Below are 27,386 nucleotides of genomic sequence, written 5' to 3'. Positions count from 1 at the left end.
TGAAGAACCCAGGGAGGATCTAAGTATCTAAGTATCCATGAACAATACCTCCACTTCCCCACAGCTTTACTGAGGTGTAATTTACACACCACAAAGCTCACTCATTTTAAGTGTACAATTCAATGATTTTTAGGAAGTATACAAAGTTGTACCACCATCACCACGATTCCATTTTTAGGTCATTCCATCACCCCAAAAAGGTGCCTGGAGCCCATCTGCAGTCACTCCCTGTTCCTACTCCCAACCACAGGCAACCATTAATCTATTTTTTGTTGCTATGTATTTATCTCTTCTAGATATTCCATACCAGTGGAATCATATGATATGTGGTCTTTTGAGCCTGACTTCTTTCTCTTAGCATAACCTTATTGAAGTTTGTCTGTTGGAGTATGCACTTCCCTTCTTATTGTCAAATAATAGTCCGTTGTATGAATAGTACCACATTTTATTTTTCCATTCACCAGTTGATAAACATTTGGAGTGTTTCCACATTCTGTACCCCCTTAATTATGATACTGAGTTTGACCTAAGGACTGTCATTACTAATCCAATTCCATGCTGCCCCACATGATGAAATAAAACCACAGGGTAACTATGCAGTTTAACTTCCCTCCACACCCAATGGTAGAAATGCTGATGCTCATTGAGGCTATAATTCTCTAATCACCTTATCTCCACCATACCATCAGAGTCCTAGGATCAGGTCACTCTCTATCACATGGCCTGTTTTCTTCAAATTTATATGAAATAATCTGAAATTACCTTCCTAAATTGTTCATTGCTTGTCTATTCCCACAAAAATGTATCCCTAAGGAGAGCAGGGATCTCACTGTCAGGAACTTACTCACAGTTCCTGTAAAGTAAAATGTTCATTCTCCACTCTAAAAGATGGGTAACAATTAAGATTGAAATGTAGATTTATATTCAGCCCTTCAACCAGGAAGTTCTACACTGAGAGTCCACTATGTGCTTAACACTCTGCCAGGCTGGAAAAAGAGTTAAGAAAATTATATGACATGGCCTCTGCTTATAAGAAACATATAATCTAGTCCCTTAAAATTTTTACTCACTCAAAGACATAACACTTTACATATCTTTCAGCTCACATTTCCATGTTTAAGAATGTATCCGAAAGAAATGATTAAGTACGTGGGTGAGGATTTCACTGCAAAGCCAAAAATGTCTGATCTATTCCCTTGAACATTTTTATTTAATCGAGGACATATATTTTTGCAGATTTTTGAACCAGCATTTCCATGGGTGGAAATGTATCCAAAGGCCATAAGTAAGAAGGGTGCAAAGACGCTAGTACTAAAATCAATCAACAAATAAACAAAGGCCAGAACCCTTGCAAGGACCTACAAAGCTATCCATGCCCGATCTTTCCCTACCTCCATGCCCTCTAACCTCAGCTTCCACACTCCTTTCACCGTTGCTCATGCAACTCCAGCCACACCGGCCTCCTTGCTGGTCCTCAGCTGGGCAGGTGCTGCTATGACCTGGCCTTTGCACTCGCTGTTCCCTGGGCCTCAAATATCTGCAGACTCACCTCATTCCAACTTTATTCAAATTTTACCTTCCCAGATCATACTATATAAAATTGCAACCCTAAATCCTCCTGCCAGCACTCATGATTCCCTATACTGTGCTCTGGTTGTTTTCCCCCTTTCTAGAATACAAATTTCAGTTTCCCCCTTCTAGAATACAATTTCTCTGAAGGCAATGATCTTTGTGTCTTTTGTTCACTTCTGTGAGTAACATTTAGCACATAGTAGATATTCAACAAACATTTACCAAATGAATGAGGGCGTGCAATGTAGCATCATTTGTAATAGCCAAAAATTAGAAATAATTCAAATGTCCCACAAAAAGAGAATGGCTAAACAAATATCCATACAAGTGAATACCAGGAAGTCATCAAAACACTGGTAAATGATATTTATTGCTATGAGGTGTTCATAATATAATGTTACATGAAAAAGCAAGTTACTTCTTATCTGTAGAGTGGTGAGGGGAAAAAAGCAAGTTACAGAAACTATGTGTAGCATAAGCCCACTTTCATAAAATAATTATAATAAATTTGCTGAATATATAAATGAATGAAAATATTAGGTTGAGCCTTTAAAATAATTCAGGTAATATAAATATAAATAAACATATTTATGTGCATTTTATATATTTTTTATTTAATCCTAATAACAACTTAATGAAGTAGAAGTTATTATATCTATTTTACACATGATAAAACTGAAGCTCAGAAATGTTAAGTAAGTTTCCCAAGACCACCTAGTTAGAAAGTAACAGAGTTTAGATTCAAATCTTGGTTGTCTCCAACTTCCATGTTCTTAACTAATAACTGAATACATATATACATATTAATAAACATAAAAAATTTCAGAAAGGATGTATACAACCATGGTTTATCTATAGGACAATAGACTCTGACTTTATTAGTTAACTGCATATAAGTTTGCCTACATAAAAAGACACCTAAAGTAACAACAGCTTAAACAAAGTGGAAGTTTATTTCTCGCTCATGCAACAGTAAGAGATATAGATAATCCAAGGATAATATGACCTTGCTCCACAAAGTCATCTGACCCAGGCTTCTATCTTTCTGCTCTGCCATGACTACAGCACCAACCTTCTCCACATGGTCCAGGATGACACCCCCCCACACCCTTGTTCCAAGCAATAGGATGAAGAAAAGGAAAAAGAAAGCACACACCTCACTTCTCTGTAATTAGCTAAGGCTGATTTCAGCTACCATATCAAGGAAGCACAAAAAATGGAGCAGCTCAAACAAGAATTTGATTTCTCTCTCATGTAACAGTTTAGGAAAGGTGGGTAGGCTTTGTTCCATGAAATGACCCAGGGATTCAGGCTGCTGGAGTTTTCTGTCATCGTAAGCACATGGCCTCCATGTCTGGGTCTAAAGGAGTTGTTGTAATGATTCCCAATTTCCAGCCAGGAGGAAAAGGATAAAAAGAAATAGTGCACGTGTCTTAAGGATATGACCCAGAAGTTGCACATACCAGTGCCCCTCACATCTCATTGACACAAACTTAGTCAAATGACTATACCCAGCTTCAAGGAAGACTAGGATGTAATCTTTATTTTGGCTGGCCATAGAGTAGATAAAAATTCTACTGCTATAGAAAGAGTATGTTATTGTTTTACTGTGGGTGTGTGGGTGTGAGTGTGTGCATGGGTGTGTGGGTGCTGGTACCTCTGAGTATTTTCTAATTTTTGTACTATGAACAAAAAAACTAAAAACTATACTTTTATTTGAAGAGGCAAAAAAGCATTTCTTCCAACGAAGTTTCTAATCCTCAATCTAGGGAGAATACCTACATGCATCTTCTTCCTTTTTAAAGTGGTTTTCCTGGAAATAATGAAGAAGGAGGAAAAAAATATATATATACACACATATATATACACACATATATATAATTTTACATTTTTTTCTATTGTAGGTCAAGATTCTCTTAATATTTAACTTTGATGTCCCTCTTTTAAATCACAAATAATTACCCTAATCATAAAATTCTACTCTTGCGTAAGTCTTTAAAACTACCAAGTACCTTCGTGTACGAAATATACAACAGAAAAGTTACCAGAAACAGCGAAATGATTGGAGGGGCATTTCCTGAAAGTACAGGCAATGAGATGCCTCCACAGCCTGTGTGGTCTCCCTAGTCTCTTGTCTGTGTACTTGCTAATGGCAAAACACTCACAGAGAACACAGTTCTGGCAGCAATAGACAGAAGTAGCAAGGACATTTCCCTGTGATGGAGTAGCTTTGACCTATGACACATGCACTACAATCCTTCAGACTTGGGACAGAACATGTGCCAAACTAAAGCCCACCCTAAAATTCTGTAAGCTATAATATCCTAGCCTCTGTATTAGCGATCAGCAAGATCACAGTAAAATTATTCCTATAACCCATCATCCTTTTTCACTGTCAAAATGCCTTTTAAATAATATACAATGGTGACATTCAACAAAAATGTCATATTTAAAGTAAAATAATTGTTCTTATGCTTTGAGTGGGGGGGGGAGTATCACAATTTCATGAAAGCTACAGACCTTATTCATAAAAAAATATAATATATACAAAAATGGACAAAAAGTGTTGAAAAATTCATTTATCTCCCTAAACTCCTCCCAGATTTCATTTAGAGTATTTTCTCAAAGCTGGTCTGAAAGTCAAAGTTTCTGATCTGCACACTAGTAGAACTACTGAATCTTGGGGCAAGATCCCTAGGAATCTACTTTTTAATAAGTACCTTCCAGGTGATTTGTACATAAGGTAAAATTCCCAAGTAAAGATTCCATGAAGTAAAATCTAACAATGATAATTAAAAAGAAGAATCTGATACTTCATCTTTGGTCAAAGCATGTAAATACATTTGCCTGATGATTGTGTGGAGACATAGTATTGCATCCATCCACCAGAGGCCAGTGTAGGATCATTCCCTGAATTGTACTCTTACACCATACAATATACCACGTACATGTACACAATACAATATGTACTATACATAGTTGGTTTTAACTACTTCAAGAAATGGGGTATAAACAACTAACACTGTAGACAATATTTTACATTTTTTATATTTACATTCAAGATTCCTTTCATATTTAACCTTGATGTTTTTCTCTTTCGTATCAGAGAAATAGAACCCCAATCATAAAACTTTACACATGAGTAAGTCTTTAAAATTTACCAAATACTTTCATGTGTATTTCATCTGATTCTCACCACAACCATTTGAGACATACCAAACAGGCAGAATTAGCCCTGATTTACAGATTCAGAGAGTAAGTGACAGGCCTGTGGTCTTAAGAAATTAGTATATGCCTGGACTAGTACCCAGGTCTTCTGAATCCAAGGATTGAAGTGTCCCTTCCCATTACACTGGCCCTGCCCGTAACAAAATGAGAACTATAAAAGCAACATAGTAAATTATTTATAAAACTAAATATCTGCAACCTAAAAGATTTTCCTTCACCGTAAGATCATGTCCTATTGCCTACCACAAAAAGTTGCATTTACTTAAGGCAACCTCTTTAACTCACCTACACTGGAGAAAGTTAGGAGGAGTAATTTTTCCCTCTTTTTTAAAAAGTAAATACTTCTTAGAAGAAGTTTTCAAACTTTCTAAAGTAGAATAACATCTGCTGAACACATTTGTAAGAATATAGGACTCAAACATTGGCATGTTGGATTAGAGCAGTTCAAGAGGAGACTTAAATTATATATGTCTTTCACATTCTCTCATTTTATCAGGAAACTCCAGGAGAGCCTTCACAAAAAAAAAAATAAAAAATAGAACAAGAGCTTAAAGTAAAATAAGAAGGAAAAAGTCTGAAAATCCACTGTTCTAATCATTCTTATTGTTATTTTATTAACTCATAGGCTGTTTATTCAATCTAAAACTGAGACCCCAAAACCAATGGCAATATTCTGGATATGATGTTCATCAATACTATGCAAATAGTTAATATTGCCTTGCCAAATCAACCTCTAACTATACAATCTATAAACATATAGATTGCTATTCTGCCTTCACACATTTAGAGCATTTGGGAATCACACCATCCTTTATAAGCAGATTGCAATAGGAATGACATATCAGCTGATGAATTCTTCTAGGGTAGGGACCCTGTTTTGTTCATCTGAGTATTCCCAGATTCTAGCTCAATGCTTAAAACACAGAAGGAATCATCAATACTGAAATGACCTCAACATTAGCAAGAAGACCTGGATTGACACTATAATTAGGGACTAAACTCAACACTCAGATGACTCCCTACAACCCCAATCTTCTAAACAGTAGTTCATATACAACAAAATTGAATGCAAAAGGCAAATTAAGTCTGGAAAACACATGAAAATGATATAATGATTCCTCTCTGTGCTAAGGATGCAATGAACTGCAAGAAGAGTAAGCTGATGGGCGTCACTTAAATGTACCTCCTCTGGAACGAATCCAAATTAAGGAAAAAAAAGACACTAAAAATCATATACTAGACAGATTGTGGTTTGATTTTCATATAAGAGTTTGGTTAAAATAAAGTTTCCTGTTTGTATCCCTTTGGGTTTAGCTGACCATTTCAAAGAAAATATTATTGTTTCACGGCTAAAAGAACATTTTGCTAAAACCATTCAGATCTGAAACATGCCCATTCAATTGAATCAAAGGACACTGTCTTATGACCACCTCAGTTTTGAGTGGAACAATTTACCCTTTCCCTTCAAGTAATGATACACTTAGCAACAACGAATAAAAATAATGTCTCAAGTTAAAGAGAAATGCATATAAAACAAATATGCACCCACTTAATATTGTTTAAATTGGCTATTTAAAGATTGATAATGACCACCTTAAAAGTTTATTTAACTATTAGTAGTTCTCTTTCATTCTGTAAAAGTTTAAAATCCCATTTGTCTACAAAAGTTCAACTCTCTAATTTATATGTATACATAAAATATATCAAATATAAATAAATTGAAAAGATGTGTATCTTTTCAAGTAAATCAAACAATTTCATTCTTTTCAAAGAATCAAAGAAAATGATTCTTTTATGTGTATGAAAAATACATATTTTTAATTCCCATGTCTTCACTGAGAACGCATATTAGAAAAGGTAATTATTGGAACAAAATACTGTGCATTAAAAACACTGCCAAAAATAAATTTAATGATTATAATTCAAAATGTCATGCACATTTAAATACATTTTCTTTCCTTATCCAATTACATGTAAACTCCAGCAGTCACAAAAAACAAATGATTATCTATGAACCAAATATTCATGTTGAAATGAATATGAATTATAACAACTTCAGCTGAAGGTTTATGCTAATATATCTAAAACAAAATGGCTTGATCAGCTCAAAATCTGTCATAATTTGAAAGGGGAAATTTCCTTCTGCAATTGAACCAGCAATTTTTGTGTGTTTCATAATTTGTCAATTTGTTCCCTAAGTGTAGTGATTTAGTGATGACAAAAGAAATAGGGAAACAAATGAAAATTGCTTAATTACAGCTTGCAGATGTTCCCCCAAAGAGAAAAAACAGGTTAATGCTGCTGATGCTGTTTCCTCCACAGGACTCTGCTATAAATTAGTTCACTTCATTCAATATTTTTTTCCTTCAGTGTTCTATGTGATGTTTGATGTTATGTTGTGATAAAGAGATTACATACACATAGTTACTGAATTTATGTTCAATATAAAACTATCAACATTTTTTCTTACACTTTTATTCTTTTTGGCAATACTAAAAAACACATCAATAAAAAGCTTTAAAATAACACCGCTTCCTTACTCGCTCCCTTGGGATGCAAGATTAATTAATTTTTTTAATTGCCTAGTTACTTTTATTAGCAAGTCCTTATATGACGTCTTCTGCAAATTTCTCTCAAGGTAACATTATCCCCATGGCCTATGTCTTCAGTTAAAGTAAGTTTATTGCTATTTGCCATGATATTTTCAATTATCTTCTCTTTACTGTTAAATTCACATTTGCAAAAGCGCTTCCCGAGTTGCCTTTTTTTTCTTAATGTGGCTAACGTTAAAAAGGAAACAGAAAGGCACTGCAAATGGCCTGTGAACTAAAAACACCACTCAATATTCAGTAGGGAATTAAATGACTGATAACAACGGCACTGAAAATGTGGCTTCAGTGCCACCTGGAAGCATAAAGCTGGTCAGTTCGTTTCCAACTTCCTCTGACAGGCAATCTGCCAGATGCAAGGGTATCAAAACAATGTTAAGCCCTCTGGTCTCTATCTAACACATGACAGAAAATAACTGCAAAAGGCTACACAGCAAGGATTATTTTTCTTGTTGTGTTTTCTTTTATGAGAGAAAGCTGTTTTTATGCTCTACTGAAATTCCTTTCCTGCTCTGAAATTGGTAAGAGGGACAGCTGCTTTCTATATTTTTCTCTCTGGTATTTTTCTACAGCAGATTTTAAATTCATTCTTCAGATTGGGAAAAGCCTCTCTTTGCACCCTCATGGAAATTTAAAGATGCATTGCTAATATTCAAATTCAAAATAGCTTTGGGGACCAAGATGATACGTCAACTTCGGAAATGTGTTGTTTTATGTGCTGTCACCGGTTTCATTTTTAATTACATTTTTTAGAAGCTGTCAAGTATGAGTAGTGATATTCTTTTGGCTGAAATGACAACTCAAAATTTATCAGTCCAGAAATGTAAACCAAATCCCAACCCAAGATTCTAAGCTCTTGACAGAACGAACGCTCAATAAAGAAAAAAAAAATTAAAAGACTCCTGAAATGAGAACTGTGTAACTTTGAAGAAGTCACTTGGCCTCTGTGGGCCTCAGTATCTCCCAGGCAAAATACCTGTGACTCTTCCTTGACTCTTTCTTCTCCTTAATCCTCTGCCAGTACCCTGTTACTAAGTGCTGTCAGTCATTCCTTCACTGGCAGCGTCTCCTAGGCCCTTTTGCTTTCCATTTTCTCCCCAACTACCCTAGTCCAGACCTCCAGCAACGTACTTCTCCTTAGCCCTCAGCTAGTCTCCCTGACTCCAGATGTTTCTCTACTTCTTCTTTGCTCTACCTTTCAAAATCACGAGCAATGTGTATTAATGGGTTTTGTTTGTTTGTTTTAAAATTCTACTATGGTTCCCAATTACATAGTATATCAAAATCCAAACTTGAGCATCATTACACAGCCTCCTTCTCAGGCTCTCCCTTCTGTGCCATCCACTAAATGTGGGTGTTCCTCAGGCTTGTACCTAAGGCCCTCCTGTCTGCCAGCCTGTCATTCTGTATTCTCTTCTTTTCTTTTCACTGCATTTATTCAACCAATATTTAAGCATCTACACATTCTGCCCCACCAGGCACTGCTTTAGACACTAGTGTAATAGTGGTGAAAACCCACAAGACACCAGCTGTATGGAGCTGATGATACTCTAGAGAAGACAGGGTAAGTGTATTTTGAGGTAGCACATCCATTCCTGTTGGCATATATTATCTACACACCAGTGACCCCAGGTCTTGAGAAGAACTGCCCGATGCCCTACGGAAGGCAGAGAACAAAGTGGTTCAGGGTGTGGGCTTTGAAATCTGATTAGGACCATAGTCTAACTCCATCTCTTCTTATAAGGACACCAGTCATACTGGGTTGGGGCCCACCCTTATGACCTCATTTAACCCTAATTATCTCTTTAAAGGCCTTATCTCCAAATACAGTCCACGTTGGGGGTTAGGGCTCCAACATGTAAATTTGGGAGGCACACAATTCAGTCCACAATAGCAAGCTACCTAACTTTATGCCTTGGTTTCCTCATCTGTAAGTTAAAAATAATAAAATGATAAAAATTAAAATGTACGAAAGAACTCACTAGGTCATTATAATGATTAAACGAGATGATACATGTGAAGAGCTAAGCATTAATCCCTAGAACTTAATAAATGTTAGCTGCTATCAGTAGTAATATTAGACTTGTTTTTTAATAATCTCTCACTCCCAGATGTTTCTCTGAGAGAGGTATAATTGTACAGAGGAGGGTCAGATGTCTGGAGTTTGAATCCTATCTGACCTCAGGCAAATTATTTAATCTACAATGACTTTCAGTTCCCTGAGCTATAAAAAGGAAGAATAATAGCTAATTCTTTGCATCATGGTGGCAATTAAATAAGTTACTCGAGACAAATACTTAGCAATATATCCATAAATGAATCTAAAATAAAGAGCACTAGACAGTCTCTGCCAACTCTACAATTGAAACAGAAACACACTTTAAGCAATTATCTGGTATTTTAAAGCAGTACAGACAGTCCTGCTTTTTAACAGACTGCCTTATGAGAATCTGTAGCCTAAATCAGTGGTTCTCAAAACTAGTGGTACATCAGAATCACCTACAGAGCCTTGAGAATATAAAAATTTTAGACCCCTTGCTATAGTTTCATTTAATAAGCCAAAAGTTTATATATAAAGTTTATATAAAAGTTTATAGTTTCATTTAATAAGCCAAAAGCCTGGAAATCTATACTTTCATAAAAGTCTGCCATCACAAAAGTCTCCTGATATTCAGCCAAGTTTGAGAACTACTTGTCAATAGTAGAGCTGCTTACATATGTGGTTTTAAGTTTTCAAGTAGACATGTTAAAAATAAATATACAAATAAATAAATATACAAAAAAATAAATATACAAATAAATAAATATATATACAAATAAATATACAAATAAAAAGTAATATCATTTTTAATGATATATTTTATTTAAATCAATTTTCTAAAATATTATCATTTCAAATATAGTCAATATAAAAATATTGAGATATTTTACATTCTATTTTTATACAAGTCTCCAAAATCCAGTGTATGTTTTATGCTTATGGCATGTCTCAATTCAGATAGTAAATTTTCATCAGAAATACTTGATCTGTATTTAGATTTCATAAAGTTTACATTTTAAAGAAACGGATTCACCTACCCAAGTTGTCCCAAACACCTTTTAAAGTTTTCTAATAAATGAATTGAATATCAGTTTTTTTATTTAAATTTAAATTAATTTAAAGTAATTAAAATTTAAAACTCTGTTCCTGGGTAGCACTGGCCATGTTTCCAATACTCAATAGCTACATGTTGCTAGTAGCTACTGTGTTGGACAGTGCAGGCCTGTATGATCACAAATCATACGGTTACTACACCATTCATGAAATTTGTAATGCTGGAAAAGCACTGGCATCGCTCCTTAAATAACTCAATGTGAATTAAGTATATATAGATTAATCTCATGATTATACAATATTATTAAAATCTGAGAAAAACTGAAACCTATTCAACGGTGTTGAAACTCCGAGAGTTTGGAACTATCAAAGGCCAGTCCTCCAGCAATTTATAAAGCCACAGGCATAGCCATTTGTCCTGAACATTCAGACACACAATGTTCTACCTAATAGGAAAGTCAATTCAAATATTAACAAGTATGAAGAGAAAAAGGGAGGTTGAGTTGACAGGAATTTTTTTCAAAGATATGTTAAAAGAACAATAAAATGCTAAAAGCACAAAGCATTGCAAGTGAAATGAGAATAGCATAAAGAAAACTAAGAATGAAATTACATATCAAAATCTGAAATAAAATCTTTGATCTACACAGAAGAAAACAGGTTAAAGTAGACAACTATGGCAGTGAATAGAAAGCTGTTATTATGTGGCAATATAAAAACTCTAGAATCACTTGGAAAGCTGGATCCTAGGCATGTGAGAGAGAGAAAGAGAGATTTGGAAATAACTACTGTAACTCCCGACAGTTACCGTATGTCATAAAATGGAGTTGAAAAGATTTAATGTCAATTTCTAAGTCATTGGCTTCTTAATTATACAATCTCTGTGTGACAGCAACATGAGCAGTAATTACCACTCTAAAAGGTAGGAGCAAATGCTTCCCAAATGGGATCATGTGGTAATCCTGGTGTGGAAGGCAATTAAAAGAAATTGCCTTTTTCTTTCAGCAGTTTAGAAGTAACTCTATTAGGAAAAAAGGAAGTCAAATTGTCCCTCTTTGCAGACGACATGATTGTATATCTAGAAAACCCCATTGTCTCAGCCCAAAATCTCCTTAAGCTGATAAGCAACTTCAGCAAAGTCTCAGGATACAAAATCAATGTACAAAAATCACAAGCATTCTTATACACCAACAACAGACAGAGAGCCAAATCATGAGTGAACTCCCATTCACAATTGCTTCAAAGAGAATAAAATACCTAGGAATCCAACTTACAAGGGATGTGAAGGACCTCTTCAAGGAGAACTACAAACCACTGCTCAAGGAAATAAAAGAGCATACAAACAAATGGAAGAACATTCCATGCTCATGGGTAGGAAGAATCAATATCGTGAAAATGGCCATACTGCCCAAGGTAATTTACAGATTCAATGCCATCCCCATCAAGCTACCAATGACTTTCTTCACAGAATTGGAAAAAACTACTTTAAAGTTCATATGGAACCAAAAAAGAGCCCGCATCGCCAAGGCAATCCTAAGCCAAAAGAACAAAGCTGGAGGCATCACACTACCTGACTTCAAACTATACTACAAGGCTACAGTAACCAAAACAGCATGGTACTGGTACCAAAACAGAGATATAGATCAATGGAACAGAACAGAGCCCTCAGAAATAACGCTGCATATCTACAACTATCTGATCTTTGACAAACCTGAGAAAAACAAGCAATGGGGAAAGGATTCCCTATTTAATAAATGGTGCTGGGAAAACTGGCTAGCCATATGTAGAAAGCTGAAACTGGATCCCTTCCTTACACCTTATACAAAAATCAATTCAAGATGGATTAAAGACTTAAACGTTAGACCTAAAACCATAAAAACCCTAGAAGAAAACCTAGGCATTACCATTCAGGACATAGGCATGGGCAAGGACTTCATGTCTGAAACACCAAAAGCAATGGCAACAAAAGACAAAATTGACAAATGGGATCTAATTAAACTAAAGAGCTTCTGCACAGCTAAAGAAACTACCATCAGAGTGAACAGGCAACCTACAAAATGGGAGAACATTTTTGCAATCTACTCATCTGACAAAGGGCTAATATCCAGAATCTACAATGAACTCAAACAAATTTACAAGGAAAAAACAAACAACCCCATCAAAAAGTGGGCGAAGGACATGAACAGACACTTCTCAAAAGAAGACATTTATGCAGCCAAAAAACACATGAAAAAATGCTCACCATCACTGGCCATCAGAGAAATGTAAATCAAAACCACAAGGAGATACCATCTCACACCAGTTAGAATGGCAATCATTAAAAAGTCAGGAAACAACAGGCGCTGGAGAGGATGTGGAGAAATAGGAACACTTTTACACTGTTGGTGGGACTGTAAACTAGTTCAACCATTGTGGAAGTCAGTGTGGCGATTCCTCAGGGATCTAGAACTAGAAATACCATTTAACCCAGCCATCCCATTACTGGGTATATACCCAAAGGACTATAAATCATGCTGCTATAAAGACACATGCACACGTATGTTTATTGTGGCATTATTCACAATAGCAAAGAGTTGGAACCAACCCAAATGTCCAACAATGATAGACTGGATTAAGAAAATGTGGCACATATACACCATGGAATACTATGCAGCCATAAAAAATGATGAGTTCATGTCCTTTGTAGGGACATGGATGAAATTGGAAATCATCATTCTCAGTAAACTATCGCAAGAACAAAAAACCAAACACCGCATATTCTCAATCATAGGTGGGAATTGAACAATGAGATCACATGGACACAGGAAGGGGAATATCACACTCTGGGGACTGTGGTGGGGTTGGGGGAGGGTGGAGGGATAGCACTGGGAGATATACCTAATGCTAGATGAGGAGTTAGTGGGTGCAGTGCACCAGCATGGCACATGTATACCTATGTAACTAACCTGCACAATGTGCACATGTACCCTAAAACTTAAAGTATAATTAAAAAAAAAAAAGAAAACTCAACAACAACAAAAAAAGAAGTAACTCTAAACTTTACTAAAACAAGGCTACATATTCGTCTTGAAGACGTAGTGTTTAAAGGAGATAGAGATATATCAGTACTAAAATCAATGCAACCGTGACCCAAAGAACCATCACCAATGGAGGCATTTTAACATCTTTCAGTTTCAGCTCTTTTCTGTCAAACTTTCCTGGTTCTACTTAATGTCTTGAAGCCCAAGGCAAGTTTGGGTTCAGTAGTTATCCTAGACTCATCTCAAGCAGCCCCTCTGATGACTAGACTTTATTGCCGTCCCTCCAAACACAGGCTGGGTGGCCCTCCTATAAGCTCTCAGTCTCCACTGTGATACTTATCATGCATTAGTCTAATTTCCTGCTTGCTTATTTATCTCTACCACTGGATTATGAGTGCTTGAGAACACAAACTATATTTTATTTACTTTTTAATCTTCAGCACCTAAAATGATATCTGGACCATAACAAGACACTCACAGAATTAATTAATGAATTAATTAAATAAAAAATCAAATATAAGTATTCACATCAGTGTTTCTATAACCTAGAAAACATGATAGCAATATGACAGGCAAGAAGAAAGAAGCCTTTTTTTCCTTTTAAACAGATATTCTAGAAAGTCCTATAAATTAGTTACATTCACAGAGAAACTGAGACACAAAAGATTGAAACTTAGCTGCTTATCTTTGTCCACAATGTCAACAACATAACAATGTCTTTACCAATTATTTTAAAAATCTGCATGCTAATTTTCTAATACATATCTTAGAATTTGATTTACCCTCCTGAACTGAAGGTGCTATTGAGAATTCACTTATAATTGGCCGTTTAAAACTAATAATTAATATGTCTCTTTAAACATTTTGATAGAACATTGTCTTTACTATCAAACATGTACCACGGTTTAAAAACCTAGTTGCTCTAAAAAAGAAAAAACCACAAAACGTAATCAACATAAATGTACTGTAGTGAGAATTATGCTATAATATTAACAGTTTCCAAATGTTTTCCAAGAGTCTGAGGCAGTAATGAGAATTTCTTTCAACAAGGCTATAATTTAATTTTTTCCAGAGAAATATTTTTAATAGGATTACTGACCCTTTTAACACTCTTAGAAAGAAAATGAATCCCATAAGCATTCTGGTGTATAACTATTATAAAAATAAATAGAACAGTCAATCAGTGGAAATGGTAATGGACTTGAGAAACTAAACTTACTAAAGAAACGTACATAAGTATGCATGGTGATAACTACTTTAACAGAGAAAAGGCTCAGTGTGTATCAACAAAACAACTAAACACATTGAGACAAATGAAGGGCCTGGAAAGAAGCAGGGAAAATAGGAATTTTGGAAATACAGCTTTAATGCCTTTCTTAAACAGAACTAACCACATTTACCTTGATCAATTCTGCTGGCTATTACTCAACTCTCAGACCTGTCCCTAAGTCCTGGTTTCTCAGAAGGTATTTAAATGTTTAAAGGGAAAAAAGGACACTTACTGATTTAAGACACATTTTTACACTCATAACTCTGTGCTTTAAGAGGAATTTTTTCAGGTCATTAGTTTATAATGTGCACTGGTGCCTAGGGATATTTTGAAAGAAAAAAAAAAACAACTAGTGTGCTTGGAGATGCAGTTTATGTGACTTGCATCATCATTTATTTCAGATCAATTTGGGGTCCAAAACTGAACCCAAAATGAAGTTATCACATCTGCAACAGTTTCTTTCTCAGCATGCAATGATCATACTGGAATTCGAAAACAGAATAAGACCCCTTTTCATAAAAGTAAATGTATTATAACCCCCTAAATATATCAAAGTCCTTGCAAAAAGTTTTTATTCTTCTAGGGTACAAAAATAAAGTCAGCCTTACAGATGATTTCCAAAATAATGTGAATTATCAAAATGTCATTAGCATACCAAAATTCATTAATTCTGCCAATTTTACCCTTATTTCCACCACCCCACCACAGCCATTCATATTGCTGTTTGGGTCCAGAAAACACAAACTAAATCATTAGTCTCGAACAAAGCAGGTATCTTCCTAAACCCAGGTGCACAGACTAAAAGATAATTTGGTCATTATCAAGATTAATTTGATCTACATGTTATGTCCAAACAGATCATTCACAGTCAGCGTCAAAGTTAACTAGCTAGTTCCTAAATTTTTCATTTCCATTAAGTATAAACAAAAATCACCACATCTATGTTTTTTGTTTAAGTGTAAACAAAACAGATATCAATTATATTATATCTTGCCTGATAAAAGAAACAGGTTAGAATCATATTTTCTTTTCGTTATAACTACTACTTTTCTTTTACATTTATACATTATAACTATAATTTCCTTATAACTACTACTCTTGTTTTACATTTCTTTGGGACACATTACTCAAATCATGAAGTCAGGTATCTTAAGAGTGTCATGACCTCAGAGATTATGGAACTCCCTGTTCTCACCCTTGAGTACATATTAGAAGCACCAGAGGAGGTTTTTTTAATAAAATACGAATCCCTTGATCCTAGCTGAGCTTTAGAGTGGGCTCTGATGTCAATACATTCTAAAAGCGAGTCAGGTGAGTCTAATGTGTAGCTAGGTAGAGAACCAATGGTCTCAAAAATGTGGATCAATGACCCAGAAAGGATCAAGGTTGAGAGCAAGCTGATGGCAATCTGAAGCAGAACCCAGAAGGAAGATAACAACTCAAATGCCTAGGGGGCCACTTGAATGAATGAAGTAGACAATGTAAGCTCACATTTTTAGACTGTGTGAGTGCCAGAGAGCGTGACAAACTAAGGAGCTCACTGGGCAAGGGCTCCTGAGCTCTAGTTGATATTGCCATGAGGAAGTAACAGATCTTCTCACTGGATCCCCCCAAAAAAAACACAAATCAAGATTTTCGTGTAAAATTACCCAACTTTCAAACGTTGGCTCAATTAATAAGCAATAACACTGGATGAGGGAAACAAAACAAATAATGAAAAACACAACATGGGTTTGGCCTCATCACATCCAGTCTAAAGGGTTGTTTCCATTCTACAGAAACCACAACAGCAGCAGCAGCAGCAGCAGCATCACAACAGCAATACAAATACCTAACATTCAGTAAGTACTTATTATGTATTAGTCACTACACTAAGAGTTTCACATGGATTATCTCAATTAACGTTTCTCAACCTTTGAGAGAAGTACTATTATTATTCCTCTTTTACTCAAAAACTACCCCTGCCCCTGATCACATGGCCAGTAAGTGGTGATCCCAGGATCCAGAAGTGTGCAGTGTAATCCCATAGTCTATACTATACTATTTCTCTTTGAAATTTTTTAAAGTAGGCTTTTAACAACCTCCACTCTTTGCATTTGGCTTTCTTAAAAAATAAAAGGATTATATTAAATGATTTCTCAAGTCATTTTTAGTTATCAAATTCTGTGGTTCTGACACCATCACACAACTCTTGGATGTATGAAGACTGGTATTTATATCATCAGTAACATTAGGGCATCAGTCACGAGTGCCCTAGTAAGAATTACCTGATAAACGAATGGAATGAATGTTCACTAAATAGTCTTTCTCAAGAGGCAGCAAAAACATACACTTATAATAAAATTATTTATCTCCATTGCTGCAGAAAGTTTACTTCTCCATTTTACCTTGTGAAAGATGAGTAAAAGTGTTCAGAAATTCTTCATCATATGTTTGCTCATGACAATTAAGGAATTTATCCAAGACGTCTTTGATTAATTGATCTTCATCCATTATTTCCAATCCTGACATATGGGCAGACATTCCTATTCATGAGGCCACAGTATCTGCAAGACAGAAAAATACCAGCTAGAGAGAATCAGGCAATACCAGCCCCTTTGAAAATATTCTGGATGGGTAGGTTGAAAAATTCCAAGGCTCCAAAACAAAGATCAAGATAGTTACTAGAGCAGTGACCTCTAGTTCAAGAGACCAGAGTTTTATTCATATCTTTGCTGCTGAATTGTTAACTATCACAATTTTATTTTTTGCTTCAGTCTGCTCATTACTATCTTCTTAATTCATAAGAATATTGTCATATATTCATATGACTATTGTCACCCAATTACACAATTAGAAACTCAAAGTCTTTCGAGGTAGGAGGAACTTTAAAGAGTACTCAACTAACCACCCATCCAATGGCAATAGCTTAGTGACTTATTTAGCAGTTACTGTGTACCAGGTGCTGTTCTGAGCAATTTTTTTGTTAGTTATCTTAACAGTCCTAGATAAGGTCACAGAGTCAGTATGGAGAAGTGCCAGCTCAAGAAGTCTGATCCTAGAAACCATGCCTTTAAACACTTCACTGTCACTCTATTCATCGGGTGACTCCACTCCCCCCCTTCCCTACTATCACTGACAAACAGTTGACTTGCCTTTGCATCAACACATCCAGGGACTGGTAACTCTGAGCATTCCAAAAAAGCCTTTGGACAGCTCTGTTAAAAACTTTTAAAATTAAGCCTAAATCTTTCTCCCTGTACTCTACCCCAACTGGTTTCTGAGCCCCTGAGGTTGTACTGAAAAATTTCTGTCTTTCTTATACATGACATCTTTTCAAATATTTGAACAAGGTTATACCATCCTTTGTCAATCTTCTCATTTCATTCACTGTAACAAATTTATTTTTCAAAACCCAGCTCAGAATTCCATTTGTCTCTGAAGACTTTATCCCCCATCTCCCACTACTGCAGGAAGAGTTAATCTTAATTTATCTGTGCTGCTCCTGTACTAGGGTTTACTGTTAAATTTATCATGCTGTATGGGAAACAGTTGTGTACATTTCTGTGTTCTCTACTAGACTCAGAGACATAAAAGGCAGAGTCCACATCTCTTCATCTTTGTATCCCAAATGCTTGATAGCTCAGGATGTGGCATAGAGCTGGCAGTCAATCAATATTAAGCTAACATTACTCATTTGAGCAAGTACAACAGTCAAGCATTGCTAGAAGCTGGCAAAACACTAAACTATACTTGCTCAATTATTTCACCCGTGCCCTATATGACATGGTTTCAAGTCCTTAAATCCTCTTGATCAATCTATCTGGAAAAAATTTCACATTGACTGCATCCCTTTATATATACCATCCACAACTGAACACAAGACTCCTGATATGATGAGATTAGACTGACTCACATTCTCAATATTCCACTCATGCTATACAGCTAGAGCTCACATTCACACTGGTAGTGGCCATTCCACATTGTCATTCATTTAGCACAGTGCTAACTGAACACCTGTCAGCTAAGACACAATGCCTCAATCCAAGCACAGTTTGGACTTCATTTTCACTTATGATATTTCACCTTGTTAAACTCCATTCATTCTGCATAAAGTATTCTTCTTACATAGCTTTGAGAAAATTATCTACAGAAAGCAGACATGTAATTACTGCCTAAGTAGCCAGTATACTACATGGGGGACCATAAAAAGTAGGGGTTTCTCCAATAATGGAAGGAAGGGAGAGCACCAAGCTTCCTTCTATCTGAAACAAGAGTAAACATCTGTTAACTTTTTCTCCCACTTTTCCTTTATACATTTATCATTTTAAAAATACAAATAGCATGTGTATGATATAAAATTCTAAAAACCTTTAAGTATCTCCTGACTCTGCCAGTTCCCAACCATCAGAGGTAAATTCTGTCAAGAGTCTAAAGAATATACTTCTAAATCTTTCCCTATAATGTTTATAGAGAATAATAGATTTTTTCTAAAAATGGAACCATATTATATGTTATTCTTTACAGCTTTAATTTAATAAGTTATCATAGACATATCACCACTTTAGTATATGCAGATCTAGCCTATTCTGTCAAATAGCTGTATAGTCACAGCCCAGCTCTGCCACACACTGTGTAGCACTGGGCAAGTTACTTGACCTCTCTGGGTCTCTGTTTCCCCGTATCTATAAAAAGGGATTACATCCCAGCACTTTGGGAGGCCAAGGCAGGTGGATCACCTGAGGCTGGAAGTTTGAGACCAGCCTGAACAACATGGAGAAACCCTGTCTCCACTAAAAATACAAAATTAGCCAGGCATGGTGGCACATGCCTATAATCCCAGCTAGTCAGGAGGCTGAGACAGGAGAATCGCTTGAACCTGGGAGGCAGAGGTTGCGATGAGCCCAGATCACACCATTGCACTCCGTCCTAGGCAACAAGAGCGAAACTCTGTCTCAAAAAAAATAAAAAGAAAAGGGGGGATTACAACTGTACAGGTCTGTATTTCCTTAACCTCAATTCCAAAATACCAAAAAGCTCAGGAAAAAAAAAAATTCATAAGATAATGCCCAAATGCATTTGGGGACAAGACCTGATTGAATTAACATGAGAGTACTTATGCCTTTTATTCTACTCAGCGTTACTATTCATATATTTCCCTGTAGAAATACCAATATGCTTGCATATAAGGTGCTTTCCCAGAACCAGCCTAGAGATTTTGTATAATATATGGCACACGCACTGATTACCTTTCTAAACTCCAAAAAGTTCTGAATTCTGAAGCACATCTGACCCTGAGGGTTTAAATAAAGAATCGTGAAACTACACATGCCTCACAAGATTACTATGAAAATTAAACGAGTACGCATGGCATCTCAAAAAATGTTAGCCATGATGATGATGATGATGGATCAGTCTTAATATTCTGTCCTTTGCCTACACAAAGACCTGTTATAACTGTGCCCACTCAACTTTGAAGGCAGCGATGTTACCTAAAGATAAATCAAGATAATTCCTCATGTATTACAACCCCAGATAAAGCATAGAGTTGTAGAGGATTGAGTGAAAATTAAAAGTGTAGCTGGGTATCAACTTAAAACAAAAGAAACTGTTTCAAGCTATTTGTACCTGAAAAAATTAGATACACGAAAAAGCACTGGTTATGGCTTATGCACATTTACTTGTAACACCACCAGGCTTTAGCAATGCAAAGCTGAATAAACTGTGTTTGCAGTAGCTAGACAGTAAATAATGATAAGTAAACTCAAAGGTGGCTATTATTTCACTACAGTAGGATGTATACTTTATTACAAGAATTTCAACGTCAATCTGCTTTTCCAGAATTGGAGCCTAGAAAAATTTCAACATTTTATTTTATCAATCTCTTCTTTAAAATCATCTTTGTAAGTTACTTCAGCAAACAAATACCAAACAGATGCAGCCAGGTTGTGGTTTCCATTCCTGTAAATGTCTTCTCATAATGCTTTAAGAGTGTTAATAGAAATTCCTTTAACCTTCTTTTCCACTTCTTAAACTGGCATATTTTGAGCATTATCCAACACATCTCAGTAGTACTGAAAGCAAACAATTAACAGATTGTGCCAGCACAAATTCAAAATCCTTCTAGGCCTTTAATTTTATTTGTGTGGTTATCCCAATATAGAGATGACATGTTTTTATTGACTATTTATTTATTTATTTATTTAGAGACAGAGTATCGCTCTTGATGCGATCTCGGCTCACTGCAACCTCTGCCTCCCAGGTTTAAGCAATTCTCCTGCCTCAGCCTCCCGAGTAGCTGGGATTACAGGCGCCTGCCACTATGGCTGGCTAATTTTTTTTTGTATTTTTAGTAGAGATGGGGTTTCGCCATGTTGGGCAGACTGGTCTCGAACTCCTGACCTCAGGTGATCCGCCTGCCTTGGCCTCCCAAAGTGCTGGGATTACAGGCGTGCGCCACTGCGCGTGGCCTTATTGACTTTTTAAAGGACTTTTGGAACATGCAGTTTCACAAACTGTCATTATTGAAGAGTTTAACAATACCCATCTTCAAATTTAGAACTTGCCTTTTCTATAAAAATATAAACCTAATATTAAAAGTCCCCAGGGACTGACAGAACAGATAATGACTTATCAGACAGCCAAGTGGTTTATGCAAATCCTAGTGGGTTTCTAAAAGGAAGCAATGCATTTTCAATTACCATTCACATACTTTTGTGTTTTTATCACGAAGTATTTTTCTAAAAGAAAAAGAGGGGGAGAGAGAGAGAGACACTTGCCTAGATAACAGAATTCTTTGTTTTGCTTTGGTTTTTATGTTTTAAGGCTTTGAGCTCCACATGAAAGACTCAAAACGTCTTGTGATAAGTAAATGTGTATAAATATCTGCTGGTAAATCACAAGCAACACTTTCACAATCATGGCCCCCAGAAGGAAATACAGGGAGCATGCACTGCTCCATGGACTACTACACTTCACTTGAAGACCACAGGCCTGGTTAGGAATAGGGTTCACTTTTTGCCAAGTCACTGAGAGATAGAAAAATCATATAACCTCCCTTAAGTCTTGTTTTCTGCTATCAAATAATGAAGCTAACAACCACCTAAGCTAGTTAATGTTATGTGCTCTCTGAAAGAACATTATTATGAAATATGATACATGAAATTGTCACCACTGATTCAGCACACCTTTGATGTTTACTTTCAGGTCCCTGCTTAATGAACTTACTCAAACAAAATGCAACTTTCAGACACAAGAGTAGTAGACCTAAAAAAGCAAATCACCACAAGCTTGCTTCTCTGAAAGTGCACAGTGTACTTTTTAACAGCACTAGGGTTATATGTCTGCAAAAAAAAAAAGTGGGGGGGCAGGGGGGAGGTGGTTAAAAACTCTGAGAGTTGTGCAGGTCTATCAAAGCCCACTTACTCAAAATGGTAATCTTCTGCTCAGTAAGAATCTACTGCTATACTGAAAGGTAAGATGGGATATTATCAAAATATTATCACTTTGCCTAAGGAAATAAAACCATCAACATTTGTACTGCAACAATTGCACAAGGTGTGTGTCCTTTTATATTTGTGTAAATGGTCAAATCTCCAAAAGACCAAACTGCACTCTAACTGCAGAGATTTAATAGGCTGCACAGATGTGATTAGAACAGATCTAGTATGAACTGATTTCTTCTTCCTTGACTGAACTACAACAATTTTGCATCCTCTAATTTTTTTGTCTTTCAGATAATATCAAGAAGAAAGAAAAACATCCAGTGAGAAATTCAGATTCTGTGACTTGAGAGAAACCTGAAGGTTATCTAGTCCAATCATAGAGAATAAATGAGTATGGGAAAGAAACTTCATGTGGGGTTTCTGTCAACTAATGACTCTATTGATGAGCAGTAATGGGTGGTTCTCTCATCATAAATAGTCATGAGATGCTCATGATTATGAACTTTAAAGTGTATCTGAAGCCATCAGGAAATTAAGCACAAAGCAGCAATCTTACCCTGGCAGGTATATTCATGCCTCCATTTATGTTCCATACCCCAATAACATTCAAAAGGCCACAGGCTGAGCACATATTACATCATTATATATTAGAGACCTACCAATACAAATGAGAAAACAAAAGAAGAAACAAAAGGAATAAAGGGAAAGCAGAATATAAAACAAAACATCTCTTACAAAACAGAAAAGAACCTACACTCCTTTATTGTTTTTCATCAGGATGAAATAAAAAACATACAATTCTAGCATCAAGGTATACGCTGCACTTCAAGTTATGAGCTTTTATCAACAGCCTTTTCTAACATGTAAAAGGCATAGACCTCTTCATTATCACCAAAAAAGTTGATAGTATAAGCATCTAGACTTCCATATATTATTAAATTGCCCTAGGTATAGCCCTTTGCTGTGAATATTAAAGGAAGTATTTGGAAGGAGGTAGGAAAGGTTTGGGGATTACTGTTGACTACAAAGCTTTAAGAGAGAGATGAATTGCGTTCCATGCAGCAGTAATAGAAGTATGTCTTAATAGCTATACATTTCCCCTTGACAAATTCTCACCTAAAGGAAAAGGGAGCACATCCATCCTAAAAACTGCATATAATTTTTAAAATGTGGGTTCAGATTATAAACAAAGATAGCACAAAGGATGCCTTAACAAAAACAGATCTAGGTCCTTCCCTAAAGAGACTTATAATTTACATATTGACTTTTTTTTTTTTTTTGAGACTGAGTTTTGCTCTTGTCACCCAGGCTCGAGTGCAGTGGAGCAATCTCTACTCACTGCAGCCTCTACTTCCTGGGTTCAAGTGATTCTCCTACCTCAGACTCCTGAGTAGCCAGGATTACAGGCGCACACCACCACACCTGACTAATTTTTGTATTCTGAGTAGAGACAGGGTTTCACCATGTTGGCCAGGCTGGTCTCAAACACCTAACCTCAAGTGATCCGCCCACCTCGGCCTCCCAAAGTGCTGGGATTACAGGCATAAGCCACTGTGCCTGGCTGTAATTTACATATTCTATACAATACTCTGTTTCTGTAATAGCAATAACTCAGATTTTTATGTTATACTAAACTTATGCATGATGTTAACATTGCAGAAGCCTGGACCAAGGCTGCATGGGCCCTCCCTATATACCTCTTTGGAACCTCCTGTGAATTCATCTTGTGAATCTATAATTTTTTTTAGCTTAAAAATGGGGGATGGAAACAGAAAAGAAGGATAACTCAATTAAAACAAAAGATATTTAGGAAAAGAAAATTATCACTAAAAGTTTACCAAGAATGTTGGAACCAGATGTGTTGTTTTCCCCCAACAGAAAGCTCTGGGAGAGAGACTAATACTAATCTATAATATTACATGCATAAACAGAAACTTTCCTCTTGAAAAATTTGCTTCCCTTTCCTGTTCATTCACCCAAGCTACTTTAATGAGGTTTCTTGAGGCTATCATTCATTAAGCCCTTCTGTTCACCAGCAGATTGTATAATACCCATTTTATTTCCCCAAGTATACTCTTCCTCCTAGCTGTTTAAGTCAATCCAGAAATGTCTGCATTGACTCACTGAGGCAGGTCACCTAAGTATTAGATTGTTTTCAATTACACAGTTATTAATTCTTTTAAACAAAGAAAAATGCAAACCAATTAAGCATTTGAACTCTCCCCACTCACTCCCTATCATTTTTTAAAAACAGATTAACTGTGTACATGGAATCTGTAGGATATACTCATAAGACAAATCTCAGGAAATCCATTGTTTTTGAAATCAAAAAGAATGCCTTTTCACTACCATTTTTGCTTGTTTTTTTTTTAATCATTTAGAGTTGTGTGGAATTACAAGTAAACACCCTATCTTCACCCCCTAACAAAACTCCTATAAGCACGCTAACTGACCTCTAGACATTTATCAAGAAAAATTTGCCATACCCATATTTCAGCCATGTCCAAAACTGATCTCCTAGCCTCAGAAATGCTATCAACTATATCAATGAGTTATGGGTAGTAACGGCGAGTAATTCAGTGAACACTTTTTTCAAGACTCCTGATAAAACTGTGAATCCATAAAGCAGTAAGGTTTCTGAGTCAACTTTACAGCTCTATAATCACACAATATTTCAATCATAAAAGATTTATTAGCTCAAACCTAATCCCACCCTCATATAAGATACAATGTCCCACTAAAGGTTACTTTATACTGCATACTATGACACAAAGGCATCCACTCTTAATTAAAGTTGTCCCCTTCTCTCCAACTTCCTGAGCCTGTTAGCCACCTGCACAATGCACAGGACTTTAAACAATACCAAGAAGCCTACTCTAAAGCAAAACCCACACAGCTGGTTAGGAGCAGGTGTAGACCAACTGAACTAAATCACCTAGGAGTTCATTTCTAAGTGTTTCAAAATACCAGATCTTGCAAATAAAATCAACCTCTATTTCACTTGGCATTCTCTTAAAAGAAGTAAGATTTTAGATTTGTTTCCCAGCTATTTTGAATTATAAATTCCTAAGACTGTGGAATAATAAATGGGCTATAAGAGGTAATACAATGCTTCCCCAGTTTCCAATTTCACTCAATACTTTATTTGCAATTTTGCCTCAATGTACAAAACATAACACACACATGCACATATATATATAATTTCTTTTTGCCAATATGGTTTCTATACTCAAAGATAGAAATTAAGAATCAGGCCAGGTGCACAGTTCGTGCCTGTAACCCCAGCACTTGGGAAGGACAACATGGGGGATCACTTTAGCCCAGTAGTTCAGGACCACCTGGCCAGTATAGTGAGACCTCATCTCTACAAAAAATTAAATCATTAGCTGAGCATGATGGTGTCCACCTGTGGTCCCAGCTACTTGAGAGACTGAGGTGGGAGGATCACTTGGGCCCAGAAGGTGGTGGCTGAGTTGAGCCAAGATTATGCCACTGCACTCCAGCCTGGGCAACAGAGCAAGACCCTGTCTCCAAAAAAATCAATAAATAAATAAAATAAAAAATAAAAAGAATCACAAACTCCTAACTCCTTTCCTTCTCTAAAAATAAAGTATTTCAGTAAATTTTTTCTAGCAAGAACATTTTTCTAGCAAAACTCCTCTGAAATGTTTTCTCTATTTTGTTTTCAAGAAAAGAATCCACCTTAAATCAGAGATCATGAAATTTTTTAGGACGATACCAGTCATTCTGGTCAGGTGGCCATATCTAACTAATTGCTTTAAATAAAAAATGTCAAGTCACTTGTCATGTTCTTCTCTTGACAATACATCATACTAACTGTAAATTGCTTCCTTCTATACATTTCCTCTTCCTTCCTCTTTTCTTTGTCAGTTTCAGTTGTGGCTCCTATTGTGGAATTCATTCAACGAGCCAAACATCTACCTTTCCAACACAATTTATCTTATTTCCTCAAAAATCTGCCACTTAGTAAAACACTAATCATTGTCTATGCTTATCCTAATGCTATGAAAAGTTGCCACTGACCTTATTGCAAACACTTGTTAACTCACTGAGAGACAATGAAGTTTAAGCTGTTTCTCCATTTATAAAATGGGGATGGAAACGCTTGAGAGATGCACTACATTTCTTGAAATGCACTGTCATGAGTTCACAGAACAGTCTTTCTCCTCTGCCTCCCTCCAACCCATCATATCCACAGACCACTGCAGCTGTGTTACCCTTGTCAATTTATGTAAACTTTTCTGATCCTGAGTAGTTTGAGTGTAAAAATAAAGGGATGGGGCTTGAGGTTGGCTTCCATCTTCTTTTTCCAATTATGTTTCCTTTTTTGTCCAATTACTAGGCCAGGATATCCCATTACTAAGTTTTTATTTTTCCCATAAGATAAAGGTTGTTTACTCTGTTTTACTCTGCCTCAAGGCTTAAAAATGGGCTGAGCAACTTATAACTGTGATTTCTTAATGAACTTCGAAGAACTTTTAAGAAAAGCTGAATGTGGGAAGAATGTAAGGCATGTTCATCTGCAACCAAAAGTTGCTTCATTCTACTATCATATATGTTCTTTAAGGCAGTAGTTCCCAACCTTTTTCGCACCAGAGACTAGTTTCGTGGAGGACAATTTTTCCATGGACCAGAGTGAGGGGGACAGTTTCAGGATGAAACGATTCCACCTCAGATCATCAGGCATTCGATTCTCATAAGGAACTCACAACCTAGCTCCCTCACATGCACAGCTTACAACAGGGTTCACACTCCAATGAGAATCTAATGCCACATAGCAGATCTGACAGGAGGCAGAGCTCAGGCAGTAAGGCTTGCCGGCCTGCGGCTCACCTCCTGCTGTGAAGCCCTGTTCCTAACAGACTGCTGACCGTACCTGTCCGTGGCTCAGGGATTGGCAACCCCTGCTTTAAGGGCAAGACCTGTGTCTGATTTTTTTTCTAATTCTCCACATGGCTTTGTACATAGTAGATGCTCAATAAATATAGTTTACTATTTTATATTTAGTTTCAATGCTGAGGACTTTTGGAGATCAGGAACCTTGTATGAGATCACTGTAAGTCTAATGCTCTCCTAATGGTATAGCAAGGACTTGGAGTCTTAAAACCCATTTTCAAATGTGCTACTAATTTCTAGTCTTGTCAAGAG

At 36.2% G+C, this 27,386-nt stretch overlaps 1 protein-coding gene across 13 annotated transcripts in view; it reads right to left on the bottom strand.

Moving 5' to 3' along the window:
- The window catches only part of IFTAP (intraflagellar transport associated protein), a 64,771-nt gene that overhangs the window by 31,853 nt on the left and 5,532 nt on the right, over positions 1 to 27,386 (bottom strand). For all 13 annotated transcript variants that reach the window (NR_077243.2, NM_001276722.2, NM_001276725.2 and 10 more), the window contains one exon: positions 17,181 to 17,339. Coding sequence is in view for 12 of the 13 variants with exons in the window: in NM_001276722.2 (NP_001263651.1) it covers positions 17,181 to 17,316 (136 nt within the window). In the remaining variant the exon portion in view is untranslated. The remainder of the gene's footprint in view (positions 1 to 17,180; positions 17,340 to 27,386) is intronic.

Source organism: Homo sapiens, chromosome 11, assembly GCF_000001405.40.
Source record: "Homo sapiens chromosome 11, GRCh38.p14 Primary Assembly".
Taxonomy (NCBI): Eukaryota; Metazoa; Chordata; class Mammalia; order Primates; family Hominidae; genus Homo; species Homo sapiens.
The sequence above is the reverse complement of the archived record's forward strand: the minus strand, read 5'-3'. Positions and strand labels throughout refer to the sequence as shown.